We start from the raw sequence: 15,288 nt of genomic DNA on the forward strand, positions 1-15,288 counted from the left end.
CCCTGGAACTAGGCTCGAGATACCCATAATCCGCTCCCAAGATGCTGATAGGCAACATGAGATCATTCATGAGCCCAAACAACTTCTGGCTTCTCTCTGTTGCCCAAAGACCCCAAGGGGCTCAACTAGTAAACTGTGGTGGGAAATATCCTGCAAATAGCAGGATTTTTTCAAGATACTGGCAGACAGTTCCATTTCAATGGCAAAGGGTACAAAGAGATTTAAAGAGAGCTGCAGGTGGTGCAGTGTGAATTTTACTCACATCCTGAGCCGTGGGGCAGAGGTAACGTTAGGAACTGAGATGCCCTCCTGTAAGGTCCAGAACACAGGCTTTGGCTACCAAAGACAGCTAACACACTACCCACTTTCCCCTAGGAGCCCGCTCACACCTCCTCGGGGATGAAGTCAGGCAGAGCCTTCCCCTGAGCCCCAAAACACCTAGAATTCATCCTTATTGCCATGGCGTGGGTACTTTTTACTTAACTGACTCGCCCATTGGGCAGTAAGGCCTTAACTTGCCAGAGCCAGCCATCTAGTATGTGCCTGGTCCATGTGCAGTGAATGAGCAAATACCTTGTCAAGCCAGATCAGCAGGCCCACTGCCTAGAGAAGTTCCATTCCTGACCACATGTTATATGTCTACCTGGTGCCTCACACCAGCTAGGTAATAATAATAACAATAATAATAATAATAGTAATACTAATAACGAGTGGGCATTTCCTGTGTTCTGTGTGCCAGGCACTGTGTTAATGCTGGGGTCCTGCATTCCCTGGCTGCATGCCTCTCCTGGGGCTGACTTCAGTGGAGCAATGCTGCTAACATCTCTAACCCACTCCTCATTCATTCCTCCCCACCAGAGGGTGGCTTCTCAAGTGGAATTGAGGGACAGAAGGAACAACCTGCTTGACTCAGTGCCATCTGGCTTCTGCAGATCTGCTTGCCCACAAGAAAGGTGCACCCTGCTCTGCTCCCATCGTGCAGGCAGGAGCTGAGGGGACAGTTCTGCCCCTGCAGTGGATGTCTGCCCCACCCGGCTCAGCCTGGGACTGGGTGGGTCTAGTTCAGGGGAATGATGGGAAACATACTTTGTCCCTGATGCGCGGCATCTCATTTATTGAAGACGTACATGTTAACATCTCTGAAACTGGGATGCATCTTTCAGTTGGATGGCACAACATAGTTGGCTGTGATGTTTCTTTCTTGGTAGGACATCTTACACTCAATGGCATCTTAGATTCAAAGAAACTTGGTAAGCAACATTCTCCAGTTAGCCTTATCAAAGAGCTGATATTTTGCTCTCCACCTGTCCCAAGGAATTAGTATTTAACTGGCTCTGAGCACAGGCAGTGGGGGAAGGGGTCTTATTTATCACCATCCCCACCATCCTACCCCTTGCCCTAAGCACTTTGCATGTCCTGAACTATGCAGAGGAGGAAGACGCCTTCCGCAGCCTAAAGAACATGAATGGCCCGGGCCAGGGAGAGGAGAAGCACTAGCAAGCCAACTGAGACATGCAAGGACTCATGTGGTCCAAGTGTGTGTGTGCACGTGTGTCCATGAGTACATATGTGTTCACATGCATGCGCACTCAGGCCTTGCCCCTGCAGCCTTTGGCCCACACCTGCAGCCTGTCCTGGTCATTGTCTCAGCCCACTCTTCCTCCTTTTGCTGGACTCCTCAAAGATTCCCAAACTCCACTCCCCAATCCTCTCATCTGGCTTCTGCCCTGACAACAAAGGTCGCTGTTACGGGTTGAATTGTGCCCCCCGCCAGGCCTCTATGTTGAAGTCCTAACTCCCAGTAACTCAGAAGGTGACCATACTTGGAGACAGGCCCTTTAAAGGGGTGATTAAGTTAAAATGAGGATGTTAGGGTGGGCTGGTATGGACCGGTTCAATATGACTGGCATCCATAAAAAGGGGAAATTTGGACTTACAGAGGGAAGATGATGCGAAGAGAGAGTGGGAAGATGGCCACAGGCAAGCCGGGGAGAGAGGCCCAGAGCAGAAGCTCCCCTCACAGCTCTCAGCAGGAAACAACCTTGCGCACATCTTGATCTTGGCTTCCAGCCTCCAGAGCTGTGGGACAGTAAATCCCTGTCGGCAAACCCATGGGTGCTGTGTTACAGTCTGAGGTGCTGTGTTACAGTAGCCCAAGCAAATGAATACACTCACTGATAATAGCCCAGTGCCCACACTGACAGCCACTCCTCCCTCCTCTTTCACTTGATTTCTCTGTTTTTGTTGTTGTTGTTATTTGTTTTTCTGCTCTGTCACCCAGGCTGGAGTATAGTGGCACAATCTCGGCCCACTGCAACCTCCATCTCCTGGGTTCAAGTGATTCTCCTGTGTCATCCTCCTGAGTAGCTGGGATTACAGGCACCCACCACCACACCCAGCTAATTTATGTGTTTTTAGTAGAGATGGGGTTTCACCATGTTGGCCAGGCTGGTCTCAAACTCCTGGCCTCAAGTGATCTACCCACCTCAACCTCTCAAAGTGCTGGGATTACAGGCATGAGCCACCGAACCCGGCCATTTTTCTCTGTATTTAACACCAAAACTTCATCTTCAGCAGCAATGGCACAGCTCCTCCTGGCATCTCCCACTGCTCCCCTTCATCCAGGTGCCTCCCAACACTGACGTCTCCCCTCTCCTGAACATGCTGGCCGGGTGACCTCCTTCTCATCCTGGCTTCTACCCCCATCTGAATGCTGATGACCCCAAAGCTCTGTCTCTAACTTACATCTGTGCTCCGAGGTTCAGACCAGATATCCACCTGCCTCCTAGACATCTCTGCCGCACATCCCACAGGCATCTCAAACACATATCCAAAACTGAGCACTGAGCACCTTTCCTGGTCTCTGCCCTCCCTGGTACTGTCTATCCCAGCAAAGGACACCACCATGTCTCAGACACCTCCCTGGTTCTACTGCTCCTGAGACTGGGTAACAGACTTCTCTACATACCCAGGGCACCCAGTTCCCCTCGGTACCCTGGGTCACACCGTCCTGCCATGGATCCTGGGACATCTTTCACGGCAGGAGCAGTGTTGGACTCACCTCTATGCAGAGAGATCTCAGACGCAGATTCTGGACACCCCTGTCCTCGAGGAAGGGGGCAGAAGCCCTTCCACACCAGCTATACAATGATCAAGCAACTGCCACTCAAAGAGGCACCATATCACAGACAAGTTTTTATTATCCTGCATAGAGAACCCAAGAAATATAAAAACATCTCCAGAAGGAACCCCCTCCGACTGGCCCCCTCCCTCCCAGGGTGAGCTCAGACCAGGGTAATGGGGGCTTGCAGGCCACCTCTGTCCAGTGAACAAGTTCCATATAAAAATAGATCTGTAGAGGGTTCCCAGAGAGCCATCGCCCCACATCACATCTGTGCAGGGCTGAGGCCTGGGACCCAACAGGATTCTGGGACCTCACTCCTCAGTGGAGGGGAGATCTACCCTGGACACCGAAGTCCTGCCAACACAGCCAGGGGCCCTTCTGCAGAAACAGCTGGGGTAGGGGGAGGAGATTTTGCCCTGCAGAGAATGACTGATGTAGCTGGAGATGAGGACGAGGCTCCATCCACCCAAGAAGGGATGCTGGTCCAGGCTTCCCAGGAGGGGTGGGGAAGGCGGATCCTGGAGGGCACCTGGCCGGGGGCTCCCCCAACCCTGACTAAGGTGGTAGCAACATCTTGGTCTCCCCAGTACCCCCAGAGTCACTGAGCTGGGGCAGGTGCTCAGGAGACAGGGAGGCAGGGGGCTGGGGGGAGATTCCAAGAGCAGGGGAGCTGCTGCTGGCAGGGTAAGGCCAAAGGCACCTCTGTGAGTCACTGTCCCCCACCTCTGGGTGCTCTGCAAAGAGGCACTGCACCTTCCCGCCTCTGGGCTCTTTCTCATGCTAGCCTCTCTGCATGGACTCCTTTTGTCCGAGGCCTGCCATCTTGCCTGCCGAAAACTCCACCCACCCCAAGGAAAGAACCTTCCCTTTCCCACCTGCAAGGCCCTGTTCAACTTACATCTCAACTTCACACATTAAGAGAGTGGCTATCTCCCCCTCCAGCCCACCTACCCACTGACCCAGAGGGCTCCTGGGGGGCCCTGGGCACTGTGGATGGTGCCCTGGAATTACTTCTTGGTACCTGAGCTCTTCTCCTGGTCTAGTCTGAGCCCCCCAAGGGCAGGCTGTGTGTCTTTTTCATCTTTACCTCTTGTCTCCTCTTTCCCGCCCCATCCCACCCCACCAACACACAGCCAAGCAGAGCAGACAAGTGTCACGGGCGGCCTAAACAAACTCAGTCCCTGTGGCCCTGCTGAGATCCAGCTGCCTTCCTGCCACCCTACGAAAGCTCTGGCATACTGGGCCCCACCATTCCCGGGGGCCCTTGTGGATAAGGAACTCCACGGTGGGCTCAGCACAACCACTTCTGCCAGGGCTCTTCAAAGTCAGAGCAGGGAGGGGCTCCATGGAAGGCTGGGTAGTGCCCAAGGCACGGAGCTGGCTGGAGGGGAGTCGCCTCTAGAGTCCCCAAGGGCTGTACAGGGAAGTGGTGGTGCCATAGGGCAGGACCAAGGACTCTCTCCCCAGAGCCAGCCTTACCCCTGGATTGGGTTCTGACCTCAGCTCTGCTCCTGACTCCTCACTTGGCCTCAGTTTCCCCCATCTGTACACTGGGGGTTAGACCAGCCTGTTTGAGAGAGAGGACCCATCTCTGAGTCTCCTCTTCACCCTCCCCATGGCTGGAGAGAAAAGCTCTTGGGTCCCTGGGGAGATAACATGGCCCTTTATGCTTTTCCCAGATGTCCTGGCCACTAAGTTCATAAAAGGAATGCACACGAGGGCCTCATGGGGCCCCAGGGAGCACCAGGGCCTCTCATGGCCCGGCCTGGCCAGGACTTTTGGCCTCACCCTGAACTGTCAGCCCAAGGCAGGGGGACACAGAAACCAGATCCTGAGTCTAGGGCTCTTGGGTATCAGCCCCTGAGCTCAGCACCATCTTTGCCTGCCTGAGCCTTGGCCAGTGTCCAGTCAGCCCCTGCCAAGGCACAGGGAGCTGAGGTGGATGCACCTCTGGCCCAGCCCCCGACGCCTGAGCCACCAGGCAGCTGCAGTCACTGCCAGGTAGAAGAAGACCCCCCCAGGACCCACGCTGTCTGACTGGTCAATGGGTCTGTGGGAAAAGGGAACACCCCACGGGGTAGGCCCCAGCCCCCAGTGGGTACAAATGGCAGTAGGGCATGAGCCAGGGCAATCTCAACCCACTGTCTTCCCTCCCATCCCTGCCCCAGCTTTTCTCTGAGACCCCGAATTTCCTCCTGCTGTTATCTCAGGGGTCCTCCCTAGGGATTTGAACCTCTTTTCAGGGGCACTGAGTTAGCCAAGGCGTTCAGACTCGTGAAAATGGGAGGGGCAGGCAGTGAAAGCGGGGAAGCTGTGGCCCCACCAGATCTGGGCCCAAGCAGAGGAAGAGAGCGCTCCCTCCCACACTGCTGGAGCGCAGCTTGCCACGGTCCTTGGGCAGGGCTGGGGGACTGGACCCCCACCGGAGTCCTGCCTTGGAAGAATGGGGTCCACTCACACCTGCACCCCCTGGCCCTGCAGCTGGAGCACTCGTGCCTGCAGGGCGCTGATCCCGCTGAGGAGGGCCTCTCGATGTTCAGCCAAAGAGATGCCTAGGCTCACCAGGTCCCTGAAACAAAGGCTGGTCACACTCGGCTGGCTTGTCCCCAACTTCTGCTCCTCCCATGAAGGCCCTCCACTCTCCCTCCGCTTCTCTGGACAGGTTGGGACTCCCCAGTATAGGCAGGGGCAGGGCCTGTGGAATCCCCCAGCCCCGGCCTTGACCTTGGTGCCTTGGACTCACTGGGCAGTCATCTCGGCCACGGCCTCCAGGCTCCCATAGCCAGCAGCCGCGAAGCTGTCCTTGTAGCGGCACAGGTCCAGGGCCTCCAGCCACGCGCCCACAGAGCCAAAGGAGGGGAAGGTGGAGAAGGCACGGTCCGCTAGTGGGGTGGGAGGCCTGCGGGTCAGAGGAGCTGTGCTCAACCGACAGCTGGGATCTGGGCCCACACCTGGTGGTCTCCCGGGGAGAGGCCAGCTGAGGATGGACAGGAGAAGGGGAGGGTAACCGGGCCCCAGGGCTGGATCTGGCTCACATGAGCACTGTGCATTCGTGAAGAAGCGAGGGCTTCAGGTTCTTCAGGCAGGTGGAGGCAGAGCCAGCGCCAGCTAAAGGTATTGGCGTATCCGGAACAGTCTGGGGTAGGACACGCCTAGGACTGGTTGGTGACTCATATTGGGAACAACGAATATTAATTTCACATATTTGATTCATTGGAACTACAAATGTGTTAGGGCTATTACCACATCTATTTCTCCAGTCAAAGGTCATTGTACCCGGGGATGTGGGCAAAATCCAGGAGAAGCAGAAGTGACCAGGAGGATGTGCAGTGAGGTGGGCCTGGGCAGGCAGGCAGGCTACAGCCCTCTGGGGCAATGGGGTGAACAATTGCTCTTGGACAGGTGGGGTGGTGGAGGCGGTGGGTTTGCACTTGCAACATGCAGGGAGGCCCTCCACGGACAGGTGAGAGGCTGGCTGTCCCATGTGGGAACGTACCTGGGACAGGTAGTCAGGGCACACTTGGGGGGCTCTGGGTCCTGCACCATCTTGCTCAGGATGCTGTGGATCTGGGAGAACCTGGGCCGCTCACCTGGGTCCTTCTGCCAGCAGTCGAGCATTAGTCGGTGCAGAAGGTTAGGACAGTTCCTGGGGGGTGGCAGCCGGAAGCCATCCTCCACAGCCTTGATCACCTGGGCCACAGGGGTGGGGAGCAGAGAGGAGGCTCTGGGTTTCCCCAGCATATGGTGTGTGCACACACACATGCACACACACAGACACAGACACACACACACACATGCGCACACACAGACACAGACACACACACACACACCCAAGGAAGCCTGGGGCAGTGGCCAGGCAGAACCAGAAGCAAGCAGACAGAGAAGAGGGGCCTGAGGCAGGAAGATTGAGGGCCAACGGGCAGAGGTCAGGAAGCTGGGGCCTGAGCTGAGAGGGTCAGAAGGCATGCAGCTGGAGCCACGGGTTACTCACGTCTTGGCCAGACATGTCCCAGTAAGGCCGCTCCCCAAAGGCCATCACCTCCCACATGATGATGCCGAAGCTCCACACGTCACTGGCAGAGCTGAAGTGGCCAAACTGAAGTGTCTCGGGAGCGGCCCATAGCGCTGGGCTCCGGCCACTCTGTAGGGGCAGGCAGGTCAGGGGCAAGGAGGAACTGGGTGACACGCAGGTTTCCCCACCCCACTGAGCCCCAGATCCAGCCTGCATGTCATCCTCCCAGGCAACCCCCAACTCCAGCTTCACATCTGGGAAAGACAGAAAAGCTGACCTCAAGGTGGGGTTCACTCGCATTTATGCCAAGACCAACTGGGTGGAGGGGCAGGGAAAGGAGTAGAAGTGGGGAGTTAAGGGCTCCAGGGCAGCTTGGTGGGAACCAGAAGGCACAGGCAGGCTTGGCTGGGGGCGCCCTCACCATAGTGGTGTAGACAGCCTCTGATCGGTCCCGGGGGCCCCGCCCGAAGCCAGAGATCTTGCAGACAAGGTCGCTGCTGACCAGCACATGGCGAGCTGCCAGGCCCCGGTGAACGTAGCCCATCTCTGACAGATACTTCATGGCTGATGCCAGCCCAGGCAGCAACCCCATCAGTTGCCCAGCCACCAGCTGCCCCTCGTGCCGCTGTGGAGGGAGAAGACTGAGGCCAGGGCTGTGCGCTTGGATCCCCTGGTGTTGTGTGACACCAGGGCGGTCACCTAGCTCTCGCCAGGCTTTAGTTCACCCTGTGACCACAGGTCAGCCCGGCCAGTGGGGATGATGCCAATTCCAAGCCCTACCAAAGAGAAAAGTGAGGGACCCCTGCCCGCTTTACAGAATAAAGTGGTCATTGGCAGCCCCAGGGCCACTCACCCTGAGGAAGCCGTCCAGGGCCCCATGGCTCATGTACTCGGTGACAATCATCAAGGTGCTTCCTGTGCCCAGGGATGGGAACACACATGCTAAGTTGTCCACTCCACTCCGCACGCACACAAGTTTCCCCCCCAGGGTCCCAGACTGGGCCTCGAGAGCCAGAACCAGCACCAAGCTCCCTAATCTCGCCATCCTCCTGCCCAGCCCAGGGTCCTCTATGCCAAGGAACAAAAGAGGAGACATCTGTAGGTGAACAAAGTCCAAGGTCATGAGCTGCAACAAGCTTGCTAAGAAAGATCACTCTTTCTAGGAGTGATATTCTAGGGGACCTATCACAGGTCAGAAAGGTCATCCTGGCCAGGCGCGGTGGTTCACGCCTGTAATCCCAGCACTTTGGGAGGCCGAGGCAGGTGGATCACGAGGTCAGGAGATCAAGACCATCCTGGCTAACATGGTGAAACCCCGTCTCTACTAAAAAAAAAAAAAAACAAAAAAATTAGCCGGGCCTGGTGGCAGGCACCTGTAGTCCCAGCTGCTCGGGAGGCTGAGGCAGGAGAATGGCATGATCCCAGGAGGCAGAGCTTGCAGTGAGCCGAGATCTCACCACTGCACTCTAGCCTGGGCAACAGAGCGAGACTCCATCTCAAAAAAAAAAAAAAAGAAAGAAAGAAAGAAAAGAAAGGTCATTCTGAGCCAGAGTGGCCGCTCCAGGAGAAGGGCCGCCTTGAGTCAGTGAAAGCTGAGGTCCCTGGCTGAAGCTCCCTCCCATAGCTGAGGGAAGGACCTGGAGAGGCAGGGGCACTCCAAACTCCCACACCATCATTTCCACCCCCCATACCCGTGGGCTGGGCAGCAGGAAGGGAGCACCGGGCCCTACCTCGGGTAACAACGCCCTCCAGCCGCACGATGTGGCTATGGTCAAACTGGCCCAGCGTGAGGGCCTCGGCCAGGAAGCCGAGCCTCTGTGAGTCGGAGGCGCTGTCCCTCAGCATATGCACGGCTACGAGCAGCTCCTGGCGACCGGGGAGCTGCAAGCAGCCACAGCACAGCTCCCCAAACCGCCCTGTGGGGAAACAGCACCTCAGATACCGCCAGAGGCCACTGCCCTGGCTGAGCTGGGCAGGCTGAGCCGAGGAGAAAGTGACTCTGACCAGCCTGGCCAACATGGCGAAACCCAGTCTCTACTAAAAATACAAAAATTAACCAGACAAGGTGGCACATGCCTGTAATCCCAGCTACTTGAGAAGCTGAGGCAGGAAAATCACTTGAACCCAGGAGGCAGAGGTTTCAGTGAGCTGAGATTGTGCCACTGCACTTCAGACTGGGTGACAGAGCAAGACTCGGTCTCAAAAAAAAAAGTGACTCCAGATCATGGACTGTTTCCAGCTTAAATCCTGGTAAACTGAGTACCAGCAGTGTGACCTCGAATTCCATCTCTTTCCTTTTCTTGGCCTGTCTCCTCTGTGAAATGGGGATTCCTCTCTGCCTTCCTCAGTGGGGGGAGGTTTCCAAGCCTTAAAGAAAGGACAGGGCATATGCCAGCACGCCGACTGCCATCAAACCCCATGTGACCCAGGATGGATGACAATGACATCTATTCTTCCACCCTGCCCCTTTCCGGCTTCTGTCCAGCGGGTCTGGAGACAGTGTCAGGGGATAATGTCAGGCTCCCAGTGAAAGCAGCTACCGTCTCTGAGCACAGGAGGCTGAGGATTTGTAGTCAGGAAGAAAGGCTAGCAGAAGACTGGCCCTTAGAGAGCAAGCGCCGACAGCCAGGCCCTGTGAGGAGTGCTGGGAGTTCCCCACATTAGCCCCCAGAAGGCAGATATCATGCCCATTTCTCAGATGAGAAACTGAGGCTCTGAGCAAAACAGGGCCATGACCCTGATCATGCAGCGGGTCAGTGGGAGAGCCAGGACTAGAACTCAGTTATGTCTGGCCCCTAAGCTTGCAAAGGCCCCTCCCCACTGCCCCATGAAGGCCTGGGACTAAACTGCCAGTGGCAGTGTGCAGAGGTCTGACCTTGAGGACCAGGAGAGGGTCACAGACCCTTCTGCCATCCTCTTCCCTATAATCAGGCAAGCCAGGGACTTTCTGGGTGGAGGGTGGGCTTGGTGTGGAGGCAGGGCTTCCAGACACGAGCAGAGACCTGGGTGGAGGTGGGCTTCAGGATAGAGGTGTGGACAGAGTAGGGGCGGGGCCTATAGAGTGGGTGAGGCTTCCAGATGGGGACAAGGCTTCCTGGGCGCCCAGCTTGCCTCCTCCAAGGCTCCTCTCCAGCGTGACGCTTTTCGCATCCAGTTCCTTGGCGAACAGATGCACAGCCTGCAGCAGGTCCCCACAGCTCTGGGGGTCCAGGAATGTGCGACGTGTTGGGACTTTGACTGGGAGAGAAAGAGATGAGCCTGAGGAATGGGGCCTCCACCACTGGGGCTGACAAGCGGGCTCATGCAGTGTAGCAAGGCAGAGGGCTGAGGAGTGAGGCAGGGTGGAGCCCGCCCCTCCCCAGCCAGGCCCAGCCAACTCACAGTGGAAATACAGCTCCTCTTCATCATGGGCATCCCCTCCTCCTTTGCCATAGCTGCAGGGCCTGGCAGGGAGTTCAGGGTCATTCTTTCAGCCAGGCCACCCCGGCCCTTCCCATTACAGAGCACTGAGGGCAGCACCTCTTTGTCCCTTCAAAAGACAAGGCCTGTGCCCTGGGGGAGGGAACTTCTTGTCCAGCTGGTTTAAAAGCTTCTCTGTGGTTTGACGACCTCCCCATGGCACAGATACAACCGTAGCCCTAGACCAAACCGTCACCACCACCACCATCCCTAGCTACTTTCACATGGTGAAAATTATTGCAACTCCAGAGGCACCCAATCCACATCCTGGCTGCAGGCCCCCAGCTGCCCCCGCATGCGGTTTTGTGAAAGTGTGAATAAGGCAAGCGGATCCAGCACTCGGGGGCAGCTTCTGGTCTGGTCAGGAAAACAAACATGGAGAGTTAGCCACAAGCCCACTCACCAGTGCTGGCAAAGGAGAAAGGTGCTGTACTGTTGGGACACGGGACAGACAGGCCTGACCTGATCCAAGGTCATTGTGGAGGGCTTCCTGAGACAGAGGCAGCCACGGGCCAAAGGACTGCATCACAGTCAACAAAGCCACAGGCCGGTACTTGGGGCCCCTAGGGGCAGGGCCTTGCTGGCCAAGATAAAGACTTTGGCTTTTATTCTGGGAGCAGAGGAGAGCCCCTGTGGGGTTGAAGCAGAGGAGTGCAATGATTTGATTTCTACTTTAGAAAGAGCTCCAGTTGCAGAGTGGAAGCTGCCACGGGTGTCACCACAGGAGAGGAGCTGGCAGTGGTTCTAGCTATGGGGTCAACATGGGCATGGAGAGAGGCAGAGGACTCGAGTGACATGAAGGTGACAGGGGCCACAGGGCTGAGAGGTTGTTGGATGGCAGAAAGGAAGAGGGAGAAGTTGCCCACAGTTTATGGTGGTGCCATTTACTGGGATGAGGAGACAAAAAGTTCACATTTAGACATCTGAGTTTGCAGGCCTGGGGGATAAGCAGGGAAGATAAGACGGGCGTTCGACGTGTGTGTGTGTGTCTGGAGCTTGGAAGAGAGGCCTGCTCTGCAGATACAAATCAGGAGCAATGAGCATGGCCCAGGGAGAGGATGGAGTCTGAGAAGAGGGACTAGGAATAAGTCTGAGAAACCCCAACATCTAGGCTAGCGGAAGGAAGCACCAAGGACAGTACAAAAGAATCGCCAGAGGAACAGAAGGAGAGCAGAGGGAAACTGGGGCAGGGTATCACAGGGACCAAGGACAGAGAAAGTAGAGGGGATGGTAGAGAGAAATCACATAAAGGTACAAGGATGAGAGACCAAGGGAGGAGTTTCCGAAGTTTTCACAACAGAGATGATCACATGTAGATACAGATGGGAAGGAGGAGCTAGGCTGTCACACAGGGGGAAGCGGCCACCGCAGGGTGTTGACAGCCTGGGCTCGGAACCTGACTGCAGGGACCTGCTTCCCAGCATCTCCGCTCGGTAGCTGTGGGACTGGGTGGCTCCATTTTCTCTTTAATAAAATCAGGATAAAGATAGGCCTGCCAGACAGCAGCATGTCAGCTTACCAAGCCTCCACACATGTTCACTGTTATGGGGGGCAGAGGGGAACATTAGGAGTAATAGTGGGCTCCCAAGATGGCAAAAGGGTGGGGTTCAGCCATAGGTGGAAGGACTGATCCTGGCTGGGAGGATCACCTCCTCTAGAGAAAAGGGGGTGAGGATGGGTGCAGAAGCAGGCAGGTTTGTAGGTTTGGTGGTGAGTAGTCCAGGGGCCAGTGATGAGGCTAAAGAACAGGTGTGACTGGTGTGGCCAAGACAGCAAGCTGCAAAGACAGGGTGTCTGCAGACCAAGAAGGGAACTGGATTAAGTATTGGGGTGAGGCCAGGCATGGTGGCTCATACCTGTAATCCCAGCACTTTGGGAGGCTGAGGTGGGTAGATCACCTGAGGTCAGGAGTTTGAGACCAGCCTGGCCAAAATGGCAAAACCCCGTCTCTACTAAAAATACAAAAAATTAGCTGGATATGGTGGCACGGGCCTGTAGTCCCAGTTACTCAGGAGGCCGAGGCAAAAGAATCAGTTGAACCGGGGAGGCAGAGGCTGCACTGAGCTGAGATCATGCCACTGCACCTCAGTCTGGGTGACAAGAGCAAGGCTCCATCTCAAAAAAAAAAAAAAAAAAAAAAAAGAAGTAACGAGGTGAAGCATTCTAGGAGGATGGCCAGGAGGAACAGAAGAGATGATCCTTGGGAATGAGAAGTCCAAGAACCGAGGGGCAAGGGATGGGACAGGCTGTCTGGCAGCTACTGAAGTCACCCAGGGTGGTGACAGGACTTCCACGAATGAGGAGCAACATCCAGGAGAGATGGGTGGAGATGAAGGGGGGAAGGCTGAGTGGATGGAGGAGCGAAAGAGGGTGCGTGGTGAGGAGAGGAGAGAGGCTTCCACTGGACCACACGGTCTGGTGAGAAGTGGGCAAGCTAGGGTGGACTGGAGAGGAGGGAAATTGGAGGTGAGGGACCATGGCGCAGAGCAGGTACTACACCCAGGACGGTGTGAGAGGTGCTGCAGACAGCCCACCAGGCTGGGACATGCATGCTGGAGGAGAACACCTCTCTACCCCTCCACACTAGACTGGGCTCACTCTCCCCATTTCAGAGCAGCTGGATTTGGAATCCCGCGCTGGCTTGCTCCGCCTCTGTAGTGCACCTGTCCCTGGGGCGCTCCTGTCCTGCAGAGCCTCTGCCCGGAAGAGGGGCTCTTGGCTTGCTTGTCTCCCTTTCCTCCTTCTGCCTCTCAGAGCCTCTCAGTGCAAAGCCAGGATGAGATGCTCTCGGCATCTGTCCATCTCTGCTTTTCCAACGGGTCCAGCACATGGACCCTTCATGCTCCACGAGCAAGGAACTCCCTACTCTTGTCCTGCCCTCCTGATTTGCCTGGTCCAGGCAGAGCTGGCTCCTAGACTAGCGAGACAGTGTTCTCTCCCACTCAGTCACTTTCAGTGCCTCATTCAAGGCCAAGCAAATTAGCCAGTGCCAAATGAATGCCCATTGTCGTTCCAGCTGCCAGGCAGTTTCAGGATGCTGAGATGTGGCTCCCCAGCCCGCCCAGCCTGGGACCCATCTGGGCGACTCTGCCTGCAGCAGAGTGTGGCCCTGGGGAGAAGGGGAGGATACATGGCAGAAGGCCTCTGCTGCCTGCAAAAGGACTAGAATCTTCTCTGAACCATACTCAAGCTCTATGTCTTCCTCCTATCCCCTTTCTCTGCTCACCCTCCTGCAAGCTTCTTTCTGCTGGGGGTGGGAGGTTTCTGCTTTATGAAATGCCCTCCCTGTCCTGCCCCTCCCACACACATACATACACAAGATTTCTGTCTTTTCCCCCTTTTCCTGTGTTCGAGGGCCTCAAGAGGCCCGGGGACAGGGGCTGGGGGCCTCTGAGCTCCTCCGGAGAATTCTAATCACACTGGAGCAGCCGGAGCTTGATTCCTTCCTCAGTGATGCCTTCTGACATTTAATGAGTTAAGGCGCTAAATCCCCTTCATCCCAGAGCAGCTGAGCTAGCTGCAGTGCTGGCTGCCACATGAACAGTGAGCTGGGGGGAGGGGCCGGGATGATGCATGCCTACATTTGTACAGCAGTGTGCTTGCAGGTGCAAATCTGCGTGTGTGCAAAGTGGGCAGAGATGCCTGTGAGCACACATTAATGTGCACGGGACATGACCCACCAGGAGTCACCTAGGCTGGGGCCAGCCACCTACCTCCTCCAAATGGCCAGCACACTCATCACGGAGCCCAGGACGAGGAGGGCCGAGATGGTCACTACGGTGACGACAATGGCGGGGCTCTGGTCCCTGGACCCTGAGGCAGCTGGGAGGAAAATCACGAGGTTGAGGCAGGCAGAGGACCAGGCTCCTAGGCAAGCCCCAGGGCAGACTCCTGTCCTCACCCTGTAGCAGGATTCCCATAGCACCTCTGCACTTGGCACTGCCTCCCAGCCACAGAGGCGCCAAGGCAGTCCCACTGACCACAGTGGCACCTGGAGTCCCAAGAGCTTCCTCTGCTCTCAGGGCAGAACACCTCCACAGCAGCCCAGCTCCTGCTCAGAGAGGCAGGAGTCCAGACAGGCAGGGCCAGGCCTCCCTCTATGCCTTTCAGATGAGCAGTGAGGGACTCAAAGTTGCTCTGCAGGAGGAATGGCCTCTGCTCTGAGCTCCCTACCCCCAGTCCAGACCATCCACCAACAATAATAAAAAGGGCTAACGGTAACTGCACCTTACTCCATTCAAGACACTGGGCCATGTGCCTACACTATACTGTCTTGTTTCATCTTCACAATAATCCAGGAAGGTATTACCATCTTCATCTTACAGCTGAGGAAACTGAGGTTGAGAAATTACATAATTTGCCCAAGATCACATGGCTAAAAAGTGGTGAACCTAAGATTTGAGCATCACTCCAAAAGTCTCTGCCTGATTCCAAAGCTTCTGCTTTGAACTATTTCTCCAAGAGATCAGCCTAGAGGACCCTCGCTCTCAGCCCTATTCATCGATCTATCCAATCAACCCATCCATCCATCCAACCTATGTGCCTGGTTTGCATTAGTACTGAGGAGAGAGGGGTGAATGGGCCTACGGGTGAGACAGAAACAAAAATCTTAACTGTAGAATGAAAAAAGAAACAGAAATGAGCAGAGCTGAGCAGAGGCACAATAATTTCTTCCTAAAGCCAATGAGGAAGG

General features: G+C 55.9%; 1 protein-coding gene across 12 annotated transcripts in view, besides 4 other annotated features; it reads right to left on the reverse strand.

Annotated features, from left to right (window-relative positions):
- Nucleotides 1–1,086: 1,086 nt before the first annotated feature.
- The window catches only part of EPHA10 (EPH receptor A10), a 51,241-nt gene continuing 37,039 nt past the window's right edge, over nt 1,087–15,288 (reverse strand). For 3 of the 12 annotated variants that reach the window (XR_946610.2, XR_946613.3, XR_001737125.3), the window contains 13 exons: nt 14,309–14,417; nt 10,518–10,579; nt 10,248–10,373; nt 8,867–9,052; nt 7,990–8,051; nt 7,558–7,761; nt 7,116–7,265; nt 6,621–6,814; nt 5,868–6,023; nt 5,585–5,693; nt 3,062–3,204; nt 1,938–2,097; nt 1,087–1,230 (listed from right to left, as the gene is read on the reverse strand). Coding sequence is in view for 5 of the 12 variants with exons in the window: in XM_017001080.1 (XP_016856569.1) it covers nt 3,183–3,204; nt 5,583–5,693; nt 5,868–6,023; nt 6,621–6,814; nt 7,116–7,265; nt 7,558–7,761; nt 7,990–8,051; nt 8,867–9,052; nt 10,248–10,373; nt 10,518–10,579; nt 14,309–14,417 (1,382 nt within the window). In the remaining 7 variants the exon portion in view is untranslated. Of the gene's footprint in view, nt 1,305–1,937; nt 2,098–3,061; nt 5,694–5,867; nt 6,024–6,159; nt 6,294–6,620; nt 6,815–7,115; nt 7,266–7,557; nt 7,762–7,989; nt 8,052–8,866; nt 9,053–10,247; nt 10,374–10,517; nt 10,580–14,308; nt 14,418–15,288 lie in introns of those variants that run through there. The other 9 variants (XM_047418403.1, XM_017001081.2, NM_001099439.2 and 6 more) reach the window with 7 other exon arrangements.
- Nucleotides 12,726–13,227: an enhancer, noted in NCBI's record as "H3K4me1 hESC enhancer chr1:38191191-38191692 (GRCh37/hg19 assembly coordinates)". NCBI's record gives its function as "activates a minimal SCP1, AML or CMV promoter by ChIP-STARR-seq in naive H9 embryonic stem cells {active_cell/tissue: H9 hESC(naive)}" and the evidence as "EXISTENCE:reporter gene assay evidence [ECO:0000049][PMID:30033119]".
- Nucleotides 13,228–13,727: an enhancer, noted in NCBI's record as "H3K4me1 hESC enhancer chr1:38191693-38192192 (GRCh37/hg19 assembly coordinates)". NCBI's record gives its function as "activates a minimal SCP1, AML or CMV promoter by ChIP-STARR-seq in naive H9 embryonic stem cells {active_cell/tissue: H9 hESC(naive)}" and the evidence as "EXISTENCE:reporter gene assay evidence [ECO:0000049][PMID:30033119]".
- Nucleotides 13,815–14,315: an enhancer, noted in NCBI's record as "H3K4me1 hESC enhancer chr1:38192280-38192780 (GRCh37/hg19 assembly coordinates)". NCBI's record gives its function as "activates a minimal SCP1, AML or CMV promoter by ChIP-STARR-seq in primed H9 embryonic stem cells {active_cell/tissue: H9 hESC(primed)}" and the evidence as "EXISTENCE:reporter gene assay evidence [ECO:0000049][PMID:30033119]".
- Nucleotides 14,316–14,816: an enhancer, noted in NCBI's record as "H3K4me1 hESC enhancer chr1:38192781-38193281 (GRCh37/hg19 assembly coordinates)". NCBI's record gives its function as "activates a minimal SCP1, AML or CMV promoter by ChIP-STARR-seq in primed H9 embryonic stem cells {active_cell/tissue: H9 hESC(primed)}" and the evidence as "EXISTENCE:reporter gene assay evidence [ECO:0000049][PMID:30033119]".

The sequence above is a fragment of the Homo sapiens genome, chromosome 1, assembly GCF_000001405.40.
Source record: "Homo sapiens chromosome 1, GRCh38.p14 Primary Assembly".
Lineage (NCBI taxonomy): Eukaryota > Metazoa > Chordata > Mammalia > Primates > Hominidae > Homo > Homo sapiens.